This window comes from Homo sapiens, chromosome 1 (assembly GCF_000001405.40).
Source record: "Homo sapiens chromosome 1, GRCh38.p14 Primary Assembly".
NCBI lineage: Eukaryota > Metazoa > Chordata > Mammalia > Primates > Hominidae > Homo > Homo sapiens.
Window position 1 is genome coordinate 229607478 of NC_000001.11, and position 15701 is coordinate 229623178.

The 15701-nt window shown below is 40.2% G+C and overlaps 1 protein-coding gene across 7 annotated transcripts in view; it reads right to left on the reverse strand.

Moving 5' to 3' along the window:
- The window catches only part of TAF5L (TATA-box binding protein associated factor 5 like), a 32989-nt gene that overhangs the window by 14344 nt on the left and 2944 nt on the right, over positions 1-15701 (reverse strand). For 3 of the 7 annotated variants that reach the window (NM_014409.4, XM_005273099.5, NM_001025247.2), the window contains exons 2-3: positions 6864-7008; positions 2629-2733 (exon numbers count right to left, since the gene is read on the reverse strand). In NM_014409.4, the coding sequence (NP_055224.1) occupies positions 2629-2733; positions 6864-7005 (247 nt within the window). In that variant the 5' untranslated portion in view covers positions 7006-7008. Of the gene's footprint in view, positions 1-296; positions 359-2628; positions 2734-6863; positions 7009-15701 lie in introns of those variants that run through there. The other 4 variants (XM_011544162.2, XM_047417996.1, XM_047417997.1 and 1 more) reach the window with 3 other exon arrangements.

The following is a 15701-nucleotide window of genomic DNA, read 5'->3' on the forward strand; positions in this document are numbered from 1 at the left end:
TATTTCTTACCCAAATTACTCCTCTTCCTCCTCCTCTTCCAGTCTACTGAAACTCAATCCATCCTTCAAGTGCTGACTTAAAGCCTACCTCCTGCTCAGTAAAGCCTTCTCTGACTACCGCCAACCAAATCACTTTCTCCTTTCATTCTGAATGCAATTCCTATATGATTCAGCAATTGATCTCATGCTGGTCTGTGAAAGTGCTTCTGTGATATTCAAATTTTATGTAAAAACTTTTACCTATAGTGTTTTTATGCTAGGACTGCTTCTAAAATAGATTAATGAGTATATCTTACACTTTATCTTGGTGATCAGGAAATAACTATTCATTTGATTTGGTTAACTGCTCTTCAGAGACCTGAGGGTAGAGAAAAATATTCCAGGAGCAGCAGTCCAAAGTGATCAATATATATTAACCCCTTTAAAATAATGATCCTTTAAACCAAAGGATTAAAGAATCAAATTACAGACAAAATAACAGACAACTTTCTCAGTTCAGAAATAAAGTAAGAACTTAAAGGAAATGGTTGATAGACTATAATCTTTTGAAATGTAAAGTTCTGGCCAAACAATCCTTGTGGTAATAATTTTTAATGGTAAACGACGAGTATACAGTAATCAATATATAAACCAAAATAATACACCTGGCCTTACACACGCATAGAATTATCCTAGTTTTACCTGGCCCCCATAATGGTATTTTAAAGCAAAGAATCTATATTTACTATAGTCTACAGTTGGAGAAAATGGTCAAAATATTACAGGAAATAAGGGTTACAAAATAAAACCCTCTAGTGGGGTTATCTTATCAGTTTCATGGTTGTTGGGTGACAGAATTCATAAGTAGAGAATAGTCTGTTTAATAGTTACAAAAACGAAAAATCATGAAAATTAAGGCTTTAGTAAAATGACTCTATTATGTTTGAAAAAAAGGAAGTTCCATTAATTCTGCATATCATATAAATCTTAAATATTTCAGTGCAGTGATCAATTTCCACTAAGGATAAAAAAAGAAAAACCGAATTTATAATAAGGGTTTCTTTCATTGAGAGGTAAGAACTTAGAGATATTTTTTATCATTGGCATTGGTTTCTGAGGCTTTAAGCAACTTGCAGAAAAATTTAACTCAGTTTTTAGAAAGTTATTTTACTCAGTTAAAAAAATATGATATTAATCTCTCCATGACAGATTTATTTTCACCATACTAGTGGTGGGGAAGCTGGTTTAGAAACAAATGTCTTGGCTGGGTGTGGTGGCTTGTGCCTACAATCTCAGCACTTTGGGAGGCCAAGATGGGAGGACTGCTTGAGGCCTGGAGTTTGAAACCAGCCTGGGCAACACAGTGAGACCCTGTCTCTACAAAAAAATTTAAAAAAATTAGCCAGGTGTTGTGGCACATGCTTGTGGTCCCAGCTACTCAGGAGGCCGAGATGGGAGGATCACTTGATCTCAGAAGGTCAAGGCTGCAGTGAGCCGTGATCATGCCACTGCACTCCTGCCTGGGCAACAGAACAATACCGTCTCAAAAAAAAGAAAAAGAAGCAAATTATCTGGCTTCTTTGAGCCTGTCTCCTTCATTCGTTCAGCCTGTATTTATGTTAAGTGCTGACTACATGCCAGGATAGATATTGTCCTAAGATATATTGATATGGTCCCCGCCCTCATGGAGCATATAGTCTAATGAGGAAAACAGACACAAAAGTAAATCACCAAATGTATAATTTTAATAGTGGTATATTCTGACTCATGACAGTGAGATGGCTCTTGTCATGGTCATGACTTATTTCTATTATGAGTGACACTCAGATGACCCTAATGACATTACATACATTTTTGTATTTTTTTAATCACTGAAGCATAGGTGTATAATAAAATAAACTCAATGGCATAATTTTATTGCTACAGAACTGTAATGATTTTTGCAGTGAAGTATTAATACACTCGGTTGATTGCTAAAGTGAGTTATCCTGGTGTAAATTTTTATGTTCACATCCCTTTCCGATTTATCTTCTGGGGCTCTTAATGTTTTTCTTCCTAATGTTCTACAGTATCTTTTTTATTCTTATCTCAAGTGGTCATTCTGCCACTCAAAAACTGGTCTAAATGACAACTTCTAGCATTTTTGCCTGTTCATTCATAAGGACTATTTACTTGCACTTTTGGAAATACGGGGCAAAGACCATTGTGAAATGTACTATATTATTAGTAGAGATGTCATGTACATTTCAAATGTGCTGTATTTAAGGATGCTTCTCTGCATAGCTGACAGTTTTTACTTATTCAATACAAGTCACAAGTCACTGTGCTGAAGGCCATGAATAAAACAGTGAATAAACACCCAGAGCTCTGCCCTTGTAAACTTAAACCTCGTGATTGAACTCTTCAGGAATTCCAATAGACCATAAGTTTGAATGCAAGAACTGTGTTAAGAGTACCTTCGAATCCCTAGTACCTCAAACCAATTGTGGAATATAGTTGGTTCTGAGGGAAATCTGCATTACTCTATTTTTTAATTTTTCTTTTTACCGCTCCTTGTGGAGCAGGGCTAACTCACAAGCAGTGTGCCCAAAGTTGGTCTGTATTACTCTGTTTTCTTAAAAAGAAAAGGTTCTAGAGCTGAGTACTTACCAGTGAGAAAATTCCGCAGTCGTCCAAACTGTACTTCATATTGCTGGGGTTCTGCCTGGCAAGGGGCTGCAGACACTATGTTGGCACAACCAGATTCTGATTGCACTAAAGAGGAGAAGATACACAAGTCAGGGCGGGAAACAGAGAGACGATTATTAACCCAGTACGTGGCAGGATGGGTGAAGGAGGGTGTTGTGCACACACGCACAGCAACTGACATTTCAGCAGGTTTCCAAAGCATGCTGGGTCCTGGTTAAACATGACAGACTGATGACACTTGTTTCTCTCCCCTCCCTCCTGAAGCCCAATAAAATGAAGGCCAGGGAAGGAAAGGCATAAAGCACAGGATAAGGTGAATGAGAGAGGACAGGTACATCAATCCATGAGATTCATCAGGAAATGTTTGATCCTATGTTCTGACATTTCACAGGTGCCTTGGTGTGGGTTCATTGTCAATCACTGTGCTGGGCACTTAGTGGGCCCTTTCAATCTGGAAATTCATGTCTTCTAGTTCTGTGAAGTTTTCTGGAATCATTTTGATAATTCCCTATCTTCCAAGACTCCTACAATTTCAAGGTCGGATATCCTGAACCAATCCTTTAATTTTTTTCTCCTATTACTCCATTTCTTTGTCTTTTTGCTCTACTTTCTGAAAGCCTTCCTCACCCTTCAGCCCTTCTACTATTTCCCCCTACATTACTTATAATACCTAATGAGTTTTTATTTTTTACTATCATGTATCTAATTGGTAACTTTTTTCATTCTCAACATTCTCTTTTCCCCTAAACACGCTATGCTTTTTGAATCTTAAGTATTTAAAACAAGGTATTTTTGAAGTTTTCTTCTGTTTCTTTCCATCTGCCCTTCTTATGAGATATGTTTCTTCTAGGGTTCAATGGCCCCTGGCTGTCTTACGGTGAGGCACTCTGGGTGGTGAGGCTCATCCTCCAGGGTGACCAGGGTGAGCAATGTCCCAACATCACTGTCTTTTCGTCTTTCTTCTTGGGCAAGTTGGACTCACCAGGGAAGGATTGTTTACTTGCCTTCCTGGAGCATGTGTGCCTGGCTGCAGTATTCCGGGCATATGAATTGGTGCAGGGGAAACAAGGCTGGAGTCTCAATATTCAGTATGTAAACACACACTTAATCTCCAATCTGTGAGTTTATGCTTTCTAAAAACAAAAAACAAAAACCATTCTCCTCCTGTTTACAAGAGGAGTGGGGAACACCGGGGAAAGAAGGTGGCTAAAAACCAAGGGAAGCCACCTTTAACCGCGTCCTGAATGAAACATGAATGCATTTTGTCAATGGAATATGGATGGAGAAATGGTGATGAATGTGGCAGGACTGAGGGCGCCATAACAGGAAATACGTAGAAAGGGAAACACAGGTGAGAGGAAAGCCAACCTACTCCAGGAGAAGGAAGAGACAGTCAGAAGAGAGGACCTGCTGCAAGCCTGCATGCAAGGGAGGGACTCCTCCTCCTTCTTCTTGCCCCCCGCTTAGTTACTCTGTCACTAAGTCCTACAGATTCCTAAAATATATCCTCTCCTCTCCACTCCCATTACCACTTCCTCAACTGAGGCTGTCCTCACTTCTCACTGGACTGCGTCTTTTAACTAGTTTCCTCGATTCTAATCTGGGCTGCCTTATCAATACTGCCACCAGACTGAGTTTTCTAAAATTCACATTTGAAAACCTGGATACCCTCCTCCAATTTGTTCCCTGGTAAACATCTAATGGTTCCTTTGCAACTCAGCTCACTCTTTCAACTATTTAGTGACCCCCAACTATATGTCAGGAATCACAAGGCCTTTTGGGGATCCTTCCTTGGCTTGCCAGCCTAATTTGGATGATCTTTTCTGCTACCACTGAACCTCCCCCTCACAGAACTTACTACCTCATGCTCTTCTACAATCACTGACTTACCTGCCTCACTTCCCAATTAGAACACTTAGCTTCTCAGAGCTAGGGTCAAATCGTAGCTATCTCTAGAACTTTTCAGCACTTGGCCTATAGCAGATGTTCACTAAATGTCTGCTGAAAAAAGAATTCTTCAGATTACTCAATTAATGGAAAAATCTAGGACAAAATCTTCTGATAATCATATTTCATGTTTCTCACTTTTCCTGGTGGTTTTCCAGCAATAACACTTTCTCCTAATAAGCTATTCTATTGAAACTAAGACAACTTAGACGAGCAAAGTTCTGGAAGTCTGTTTAATATTGTTCATTCCTACTTTCTATCAACAACAGCAAGAATTACTGCTCTCTGGTTCCAAAGGATGCAGGGCAGCAGATTTTTTAAATGGCTAGGATGGCATGTTCAGAAGGAATTACTCTACAATGGGACAGAGGCCTTGTAAATGGACTCCCCTATTCAAACAATAAGGCACTTAGTATTCTATACCAAGGCCATCATCTGGCCCTGTTTTGGTCAAGGGTATCTCTGAGGAGTTTGAAGGCAAGGAATAATGGGTGGATCCAACCCTGAAATACGTGATGGCAGGCTGCTGACTGGGCTTCTGTTAGTGTTTCAGAGGAAGTCAGGAACCACTCCTTTGAGAGCATCCTCAGGTTGTTACTGTCCTAGCACTCTCTTCCTATGGCAATGAACCCTGGGTCCTTGACTTTGAAGGTATATGAAAAGAGGGAGCTGAGGTAACTGCGGCTACTAGGATGGAGGATGAAACCATTAAGAAATGGAGCACGTGGTGAAAGATATTTGGAAGATCACAGAAAGCCCAGGAACAAAGAAGAGAGAAGAATGTAGCCTGAGCATATAAGAAAGGGAACCAGGGCTGAGCTGCAGAAATCACTGCTAACTCCACCTCCACACACAGCCATTGAAGTAGTTTATAATCACCCTAAAGTATCCCAGCAATTTTTTTCCCCCAGAATCACTAGTAAATAAGTTCAGTAAAAGAAAGTCCTGTTACACAGTGGCTCACACCTGTAATCCCAGCACTTTGGGAGGCCAAGGTGGGAGGATCACTTGAGGCCAGGAGGTCATGACTAGCCTGGACAACATGGTAAGACCCCACCTCTAACAAGAATAACAAGCAAAAAAAAAAAAAAATTAGCCAGGTGGTTGTGCATGACTGTGGTCCAAGCTACTTGGTAGGCTGAGATGGAGGATCACTTGAGCCTGGGAAGTTGAGGCTGCAGTGAGCTGTGACTGCATCACTGCATTCCAGTCTGGGTGATGGAGAGAGACTCTGTCTCAAAAAAAAAAAAAAAAAAAGAAGAAAGAAGAAGAAGAAGAAGAAAGTCATAAAGTCATATTACATAAAAACATGAACTCACAAAATAGCTAACAATTACAGTCGGCCCTCTGTATCTGTGGGTTTCACATTCATGGATTCAAACAACTGCAAGTCAAAAATATTTGGGGAAAAAAACCACCAAAGTCCCAAGAAGCAAATTTTGAATTTACCAGGTGCTGAATACTATGATGAATCCATGTGAATGAGGTGATATGTAGGCTGTATTAGGAATTATAAGTAATCTAAAGACAATTTAAAGAATACAGGAGGATGTCTGTAGATGTAACCTGCTATGCCAAATATTATACCACATCTTATCAGGCAGGAACTTGAGTATCCGTGGATTTTGGTATTCATGGAGGGGTCCTGGAACCAATCCTTTATGGATACTGAGGGATGACTATACTTATTAATCCAGATGGAGTCAACTCAAGTTTTTCTAAAATAGAATCGGATTTCAAAACATTAAAAAACAAAAACAAATTAAAAAAACTTCAGGAATGTGTCTATAATAATAATAATATTTCCAACTACAGATCCTGAAGTACCAATTTATTCAACAAACCTGACTTCTACATGTGAGGCTCCATGCTGGAGGAGAGGGGACCTGTGCAAGAAGGGGACAGAGGGAGACCCTGTCCCTAAGGGTCTTGTAGGTTAATTGTTTACAGAAGGAAAAAGTTGCACGTACTTTCAGGTACAGATAAAGTAACTGAGAAGTCCTGAGGAAGGAAATGACTTTAGCCAGGGGAATCACAGAGGTTATCAGAAGTGACAATGTGAGCACCGCTCTAAATGACAGACAGGGTCTCTGAGGCCAACATCATTCACTTAACGTAGCTCACTGAGGTTTTTGGTCAGTCTGCTCTCTCTGGCACTGTCTTGAGAAGAGGAGAAGTAATTCCACATGGATATTGACGTGAGTTCTCCTGCTCCAGGCTCACCCCACCAGACGAGCCCCCACCATTACCTGTTAGATTGGCCGCCATCTCTTCAGCAGTCTGTGACAGCCGCAGTCCTTGCTTCAGGGGACCATCTGAGTCCACGTACTGCCGGCGTTTGAGGTAGCAGGACACTGCCATCTGAATCTGCTCGGTACGCACTCGTTTCATGACCTTCAAGGGAGGCAACGACAGGATACAGAGACATCAGGGGCCTGGGAGAGCAACCTATCTAACTGCACCATCGCAGATGGGTAGGACACATGGGAGAGAAAGACCAGCCATGTGGCTAAGTGGCCTAGTTAAGACGCAAATCTAAGTTCCCTAATACCAACGTGGTATACTCTTCCATTTTGTCTGTTTCTCCAATGACAATACAGCCAACTTCAATTACAGAAAATAGGAAAAGCATCGATAATAAAGTCCTTAGATCACCCCCAAACTCTGTTTAATACCAAGATTCCAATCAGCCCCATGAAACTTTTCATTAGAGAAGCTAACAAAGAGCAAACAGGGCCAGTCTGAAATTTAGGGCCTTTGATTTCTCCTGCCTACTCTGTGAGAGAGGCGTTAATTAGCAGTGAACTAGCCAAAAAAGCAGGCAGGAGGCAGTGCCAAATCAAAGACCACAGAAACTGGATAAATAGATGTTAACAAAGCATGAAGTTAACAATGGTGAAGGGGATTGTGATATTTTTGCTTAATAGCCAGGAAAAGACTGCCAGCTCTAAGTTAGGGATTTGCAAAATGTGTTTTCATTTTATTTTATTTCATTTTATTTATTTATTTATTTTGAGACAGAGTCTCGCTCTGTCGCCCAGGCTGGAGTGCATTGGTGCGATCTCAGCTCACTGCAAGCTCTGCCTCCTGGGTTCACGCCATTCTCCTGTCTCAGCCTCCCAAGTAGCTGGGACTACAGGCACCCACCACCACGCCCAGCTAATTTTTTGTATTTTTAGTAGAGACGGGGTTTCACCGTGTTAGCCAGGATGGTCTCAATCTCCTGACATTGTGATCTGCCCGGCTTGGCCTCTCAAAGTGCTGGGATTACAGGCGTGAGCCACCGCGCCTGGCCGTGTTTTCATTTTAATTGTATAATATTATTTACCTTTTTTGCTCTTTATTTAAACCACAGGTATAGAAAGGCAGCACAACACTAAGAGGGTATGTATATGTGTTAGCATATGTCTCATAAATTCCTGTAAGAAAGGAAAGTGGTAGGAAGTGACCTGAACAGAAGTAAATTATTTTTGAATAATTCAAGCTAATTTGTAGGTTCACAAAAATAAAAAGAAAAGGGAAAAAGAAAAAAAAAAAAGAGGCACTGTTTCCTTTGACTATTGAGTTTATTATCAACAATGACAGGAACCCCTAGTATTGCCATGGCCTCAAACACTACTTTGCCAGAAATAAATACTGCAGTCCAGATGACCAATGACAGCTGGATGAATTTTGGGGTTCACTTCTGTCATGTAAAACATACTTTCCCCTCCAGGACCAAAATATTGTGTCCATTTTGGAATGCATTTCATGTACGCATACACACACAATCATCCCAACCAAAGTAACATTCTCTAAATCAAGGTTTCCCAGTTGTTTTGTGTGGGAGATCTGTTTTTGATCATTTATTTGGATGTGTTTTAAGTTCTCAGTTTCAGTTACATGCATTAGTATTTTCCTTTGAGAGTTCTACCATTCTTTCATTTTGTTTTATTTTTTTTGAGACAGTGTCTTGCTCTGTCACCCAGACTGGAGTGCAATGGCATGATCTCAGCTCACTGCAGCCTCCACCTCCTGGGTTCAAGTGATTCCCTGCCTTAGACTCCCGAGTAGCTGGGATTACAGGCCCACGCTACCACACTTGGCTAATTATTAAATTTTTAGTAGAGATGGGGTTTCACCATGTTGGCCAGGCTGGTCTCGAACTCCTGACCTCAAGTGACTTGCCTGCCTTGGCCTCTCAAAGTGCTGGGATTACAGGTGCGAACCACCGTGCCTGCTCTTCCATTCTTTTTTAAGATGTAAAATTCCACCTTTTCCGGAAGTCTATTTATTTATTTATATTTTTTTTTTTAGTAGAGAAGGGGTTTTGCTATGTTGTCCAGGGTGGTCTCAAACTCCTGGGCTTAAGCAATTCTCCTTCCTTAGTCTCCCAAATTGTTGGGATTACAGGCATGAGCTACCATGCCTGGTCTTATTTTTCTTTAAACATAAAAAAATTATTTGTATCTAATTTTCGTCCATCTGCAGTTTCTTTTAGTGTATGTGTGGTGAATAACCAAACAAATGTTTTGCCCAGTGACTGTAGCTAACACACTGTCCCAATACCATTTGCAAGTAATTATTTCCTTCTAAACTGATTTGTGGGAGCCCTTTAAAAATATACTCTGAAGACCTACTTTTCAATTCCCTACAAGTCATACAACAGAGCAAACTGTGAAGGCTAGAGACATACTCACAAGTATATATACATGTAAATATAAAATGTTAGGACATTATATATATATTAAACTATATGCCCAGAAAGATTACATTATCTGTGCATTTTATTTCTAGGTTGCCAAAGAGTTCAAAATATTTGTTACAAAGAAGGGGTACTAGGTGTGTGATTGTTAAAAAGAAGGAACACTATGGTTGTGAATCAGTGACATAATGAAACACAATAATAAATTTCCAAATACTGAACTCTCTTCTCACTATGAAATTTACCTTGCTTGGGTATGGTGTATTATTCTCTCACTGTATTGATGACTTAGGTTACTTTTTAATTAAGCTGTTTTTTTAAATTGCTAATACAGGGATTCTGATACTCTGAGAGTGGGGTCCCTGCTCCCATTCTCTGTGGCCACTGATCAGCACTGCTCTATCAGTGATCCTCCAACCTGGCTATACATAAGAATCCCATGAGTGTGTGGATATGTATATAAATAATTTCAGCCCTGCAGATTCTGGTTGTGTTATATTTAGAGTAAAAAAGTTAAATGCACACGGAGGCTGTGACAGTACTGTCCTTTCCCGTGTGGCCCAAAGTCAAGACGAGTCAATCCAACCAGTGCCTCTTCCTATCACTTGCTACAGCTGCTTTTCATCTAACTTCAAGATCTCCTACTCTGCGGGCTTTCCCAAAGCAGCCCAATTCCCTACTCTAGCTGAGACTGAAATCTTTCCGGCTTCCACACTGCCGATCTTTTGCTGACTTGGGAATGCATGCAAATATTGATGCACATCCGTGAGCATTCCAGGCAGATGGGCCTCGATCTCTTAGATCACCTCTGACAGGAAAAAACTCTGCATGTGAAAGACATGTGAATGACTGATCTGGAGAACAGGCTCTGCAATGACACAGTGTCCTCAAGGTGCGACAATATACCTATGTGTCTGAGGAGGAAGGGAAAAGATGTGAAGTTAGGAAAGAGTAAACAGAACGGAGTAAGAATGAATGATAGTCAACACTGACCATATTTAAGATTGCTAGAAACTAGTCTGTAATACTGATTCTAACAAATATGCTTAAATTAGCTGCCCCAAATAGCAATTTCTCTGAGTCCAAACTACCATTTATGATAAGGGCGCTTCCCTGAGGGTGGGTGGTGAATCAACTGTATGGCCATGGATCTTAAGGGCAGGAATTCTGGCAATGACTCTCTTGCATAACCACGCTAAACTCAAATACTAGAGACACGACCCAATCAACTCAGCTGGGTTTTATTCCAATGTACATATATTTCAAGTGACATGGATAATTAATGAACCTGAGATAAATCGGTCCCCTCCACCCAGACTGATTTCCAGAGTACTAATATCCAAAAAGGGACAAGTGAAGAAAAAAAACTCTCCTTAAACTAGACCTAAGTCTCTGGAGAGACTCATACATGAGACGAACAGTGCAGTTTCGTTACCTGCCTAGCTTTTCCTATAATTATAAAATCTTTCAAACTGAAATTGGATTTAAATATAATTATACTCTTTGTTAACATTTCAGAATTTCTCATCATTTTCAATTTATATAAAATACTTAACTTTCAGAGGTAAAAACAGATGTCAAATACTCTGCTCTTCATATCACATTATTGATATTTCTGGAAATCAAAAATTTCTGGAGGATTTTGACACAATGTATATCTATTCTCATGTATCAACAGTTGCCAGATTGGTATTTCTGGAAATCAAAAATTTCTGGAGGATTTTGACACAATGTATATCTATTCTCATGTATCAACAGTTGCCAGATACTTCAACCAAGTTGCTATATAAAATCCCACATGATCATTTCAATGTAACAACTCTGCAGGGAAAACCACAGCCACACTTAACATTCAACTACAGAAACATGGGGAGGTGGAGATACATGGAACCCAGGCATCCTCTTAAGATGCTGTCAGTGTGGAACTCTAGTCTGGTCAATCCCTTCAGTGGTTACACGCTGCATCCTATCCCTCCACCCCCACCCCCGTTAGGCTCTAATGTACACGGTCGGTAGAGGAGGGCTGGGAGGCACCCTCATCCACCATATCACAGGTTAAAGTACTACACAGTTCCACGAAATGCCAAAAGAGTACTACCTGGCTCCCCCATCCCTCCCCCTGCCCCAATAAGGTGGCAGTTTTGAGTAGGGGTGAGTTCAAGATAAATTCAGGCAAACTCACTACACAATCCTCAAATCAGCTCTTCAACTGAGACTTCTGACTGTTGGCTTTTGAGTAATTGTATCTTTTTTCCAATGGCAAATTTATGTTTATAACAGAAGAAAAAAATTATTTTTTTGCATTTTTTTGTAAAGTGTCTACTAGGTAACTCAAGTTATTAGTTCTCTTCACTCACAGCAACTAAATGGTTGTAACATCAAAAGATCAGTCTAAGTAGGACCTAAAGCCCTAGCTTTGCATTAATCATCATGATAAAGTGTATTCAATAAGCTTTGTGAAAATATAAATCACAACTGAAAAATAAATGAGCCATACTACTTTCAGTTTCAGTCATACCTCATATAATTTAAAAATTATGATAGCCTTTCATATTCAATCTTTGCTCAGACTGACATAAATACACTTGAACTAGAAGCTGTGTTTTTTCCCATGGTGTCCTAAGAAATAAAATGGCACATGGATAAGGCCGTAGCTGGGCTCAGGACGCAGTGAAGAATGTGGCGTTTTGGTGGGGATGGCAGCAGTGGTAGAAAGTAGGTGGAAATCACGAAATCCAGCAAACAGATGTCATGAGAAGTAGATTTTCTCCAACATCAGCTGGGACCTCCATGATGTTCCAGAAGTCTTGTTTCATCAACTACTTACCCTACAGCCTTCCACCTACGCTATTCTAAACCTTCACCAGTCTCCTCACCCAGCCAGCTGACCCTGCTTCTGACCTCAGTGGGCTACTGAGACTTGGGATTCCTTAACTTTTTGATCTAACCAGTCACTTTCCAGCACCACCCTTCACGATCTCTCAGCTGGATGTGATGCTGCTGAACTCACCTCCTACTTGAAACTCTCTTGGTCCCTCCCACTGCAAGCCTCTCTTGTGGCTCTGCCCTCCCATTACTGTCTGCCACTGCTTCTTCACATTCCCGGCTTCACCACACCACCATGCAAGACTTACAGTCAGACCACCTTCCTCAACTCAGTCAATTAACAGACATTTCCACCTGCAATACCTCTTCCTTCTCCCGGTTTTCTTAGCCGGCTTAATGGTGCCACTATCCACCATTAAAGCAAAAACAAAACAAAAGAAAACAAAACAACCAAAAAGCCAGTCATGATAAAATTCTGTTCTCTCTCTCCCTTACTTCAAAGAGGCCACCAACTCCTATTCTAAATGGGAATTCTCTCTCAACTTAAAAAAAAAAAATTGCGGCTAGTGCAACTCAACCATTTCTGCTACCCCATCTTGACTGTTTGCTATTTGACAGCACAAATTGCTTCTCGCTCTCTTTAGAGAAGTGGTCTGGCTATATTGCCCAGGCTGGTCTCCATCCTCTGGGCTCATGATCCTCCCAGCTCAGCCTCCCAGGTAGCTAGGATTACAGGTGTATGCCACTATGCCCGACTCTACAAATCACTTCTCAACTGGACTATTCCAATATTCTTCCACCTTTAGGCCCTCCTCATATGGCCCTTTGAAAAGCAGCCAAAGTACATGACAAATCTAATGATGTTACAACCAAGCCTAAATCACCCCAACCCTCATGCAGGTTGTCCCCTCTTGCCATCACTCTTCCTCAGTTCCCCTAAACAGATGGAGAGTTCCCTGAGGACAGGCCTTATCTTTGAAACTCATCATAAAAATAACGTGAGTGCTATCTAGCTTCTTGGAATTCTTGAGAGTTTATTTTAAGCTCGTGATCTTTTTGAATTTCTACTTTAATACTGTTTTACAGCACAGAAAAACTGCTTTTCTATACAAAATCTTATTAACATGGAAGAGTGTGGCACAATCTACAGAATGGCTCTTTACATTACTTACTATGCTTGACTACATAAAGAAAACTTTCACAAATGCTCTATTTGCAAACACCACTGCAGACAGAAATAGGATGTCCTGTTCTCAAAATAAGGGATAAGACGTTTTCCCATGCTTATCACTGTTCCTGAAACTGAATTCAAATGCAGTACATGAGGATTTGAAGACGCTTCATTAAAACATTTATGTGTGTGTGTGTGTGTGTGTGTGTGTCTCAAAGTGGATGGAATGATCTTCAATTTTTCATTCCAGAGCAGTACTGTCCAAGAGGACTTTTGGCAAACGACGGAGGTGTTGTAAGTCTGCACTGTTCACAACAGTAGTCACTGGCCACACAGGGCAATTGGGCAATGAAAATATGACTAGTGCAACTAAGGAACTGAATTGTTTTAACTAATTTTAATTTAAGTAGTCATAAGTGGCCAATGATTACTGTATTGGACAACAGAGTTCTACAGAATGACATTACCTGGTGAAACTAATGCATCAGCATCTTGGCTTAAAAAAGTTAATTCACAAAGTTTTGCATAACACTTCTGCTTACTAATGACAAAGTCTCCAAAAGTTAGTATTTTGTTTTAAAAACACAGCTACCTTTTATTATTGCCAAACATTGTGAAGTTATTAACATACCCATCCACCTTGATACACCTTACTGGGAGGATATCTTCTTTGACTACTAAACAATTATAAATGGAAGTATTTTATAGTGTTTTCTAAACACTGACAATATACAACACTCTTCAAATCTTCTGTAAATTAAAAAATAGGAAGGAAAAAGACAATTTGCTTCAGTGGAGAAACAGCAGCTAATTTCTTTCTGTAAAATGTCCAACTAAAAGGTAAGCCCAAACCTATGACTACCTTACCATACCAATAAGAAAATTAAAAAGAAAACATTTTAGTCAACTTTAATTTAAAAAAAGAGAAACTCTGAGGGTTACAGATGAAAATCAAATGTCTAACTATAATCTCTATTAATTTACACATATCTAAAATATATAAGGCAATATATTAATTCACTAAAGAAATTCACTCCAACTGTTCATGAATATCTTAAACACCAGTGTCTGTGATGAATTAAGCCACTATGAATCATCAAATTCCATTTCCAGAGCACTTTACCTTTCCCATCTACTAAATCAGTTACAATAAAGCACGTCTTAAATCCATATACTCCTGCTGGAAATCTCAACCCAAGCCATCAATGCCTGTTCGGGTGAGCAGAACTTCTTTTCATTCATCATCATCTATCTATCTATCTATCTATCTATCTATCTATCTATCTATCTATCTATACAGATAGATATATATAGATATACAGATATGTGTGTGTATATATATTATACATACATTATGTTTTGCATTTAACACTTGCACTTTGTGATACCCCCCACCCCCATCAGGAAGAATGACTTAATGACTGAATCTTTCCTATTTTTTTGTTTCACTTATTTGGTAAGATTGAATAAATATCCCAAACTAGCACCAGCTGAGGTTGCTCCAGTTGTTCCAGCCCATTATGTCCTTCCCAAACAGCACCTTGTTGTTCAAAATAGACTGAGAAAGAGTGCCCTGTAACAGGGGAGCCCCAAACATGAGACTTTTGGGGGAAAACCTTGCTTGTGATCAAGCATATACAATACATACTTGAAGATAATTTTTAAGAGGGAAGGCTGCCTGGTTTCTTCATGCTTTCTGTAAGTGCTGTCTAAGCTTTGAGATTTGGAATAAAATGCCCAACTCTACTACCATTTTCCTTTTGAAATCACGGGCAGATAGGGAACTGCCAAGACTTTATCTTAATAAAAAATAAAAGTAAAATAAAATAAAAATAAAAGTCTTTCTTTTTAATTTTGAAATAAGGTCTTGCTCTGTCACCGAGGCTGGAGTGCAGTGGCACAATCACAGCTCACTGCAGCCTTGACTGAGCTCAAAGATCTTCCTGAGTCAGCCTCCTCAGCAGCTGGGGCTACAGGCATGCCCACCATCACACCTGGTTAGTTAAAAAAAAAATTTTTTTTTGTAGAGACGGAGTCTCACTACGCTGCCCAGGTTGATCTCAAACTCCTGTGCTCAAGTGATCCTCCGAAAGTGCTGGGATTATCGGCATGAGCCACCACACCTGGCCCTACTTTAAACATAATACTATACTACTATAGGCACAATCTTTCCAAGGAGCTAATCTGATGTTATCTCTGCTAAGCTTAAAAACATTTACTGCCGCCGGGCACGGTGGCTCGGGCCTGTAATCTCAGCACTTTGGGAGGCTGAGGTGGGTGGATCACCCGAGGTCAGGAGTTCAAGACCAGCCTGGTCAACATGGTGAAATCCCATCTCCACTAATACAAAAATTAGCCAGGCATGGTGGTGCATGCCTGTAGTCCCAGGTACTGGGGAGGCTGAGG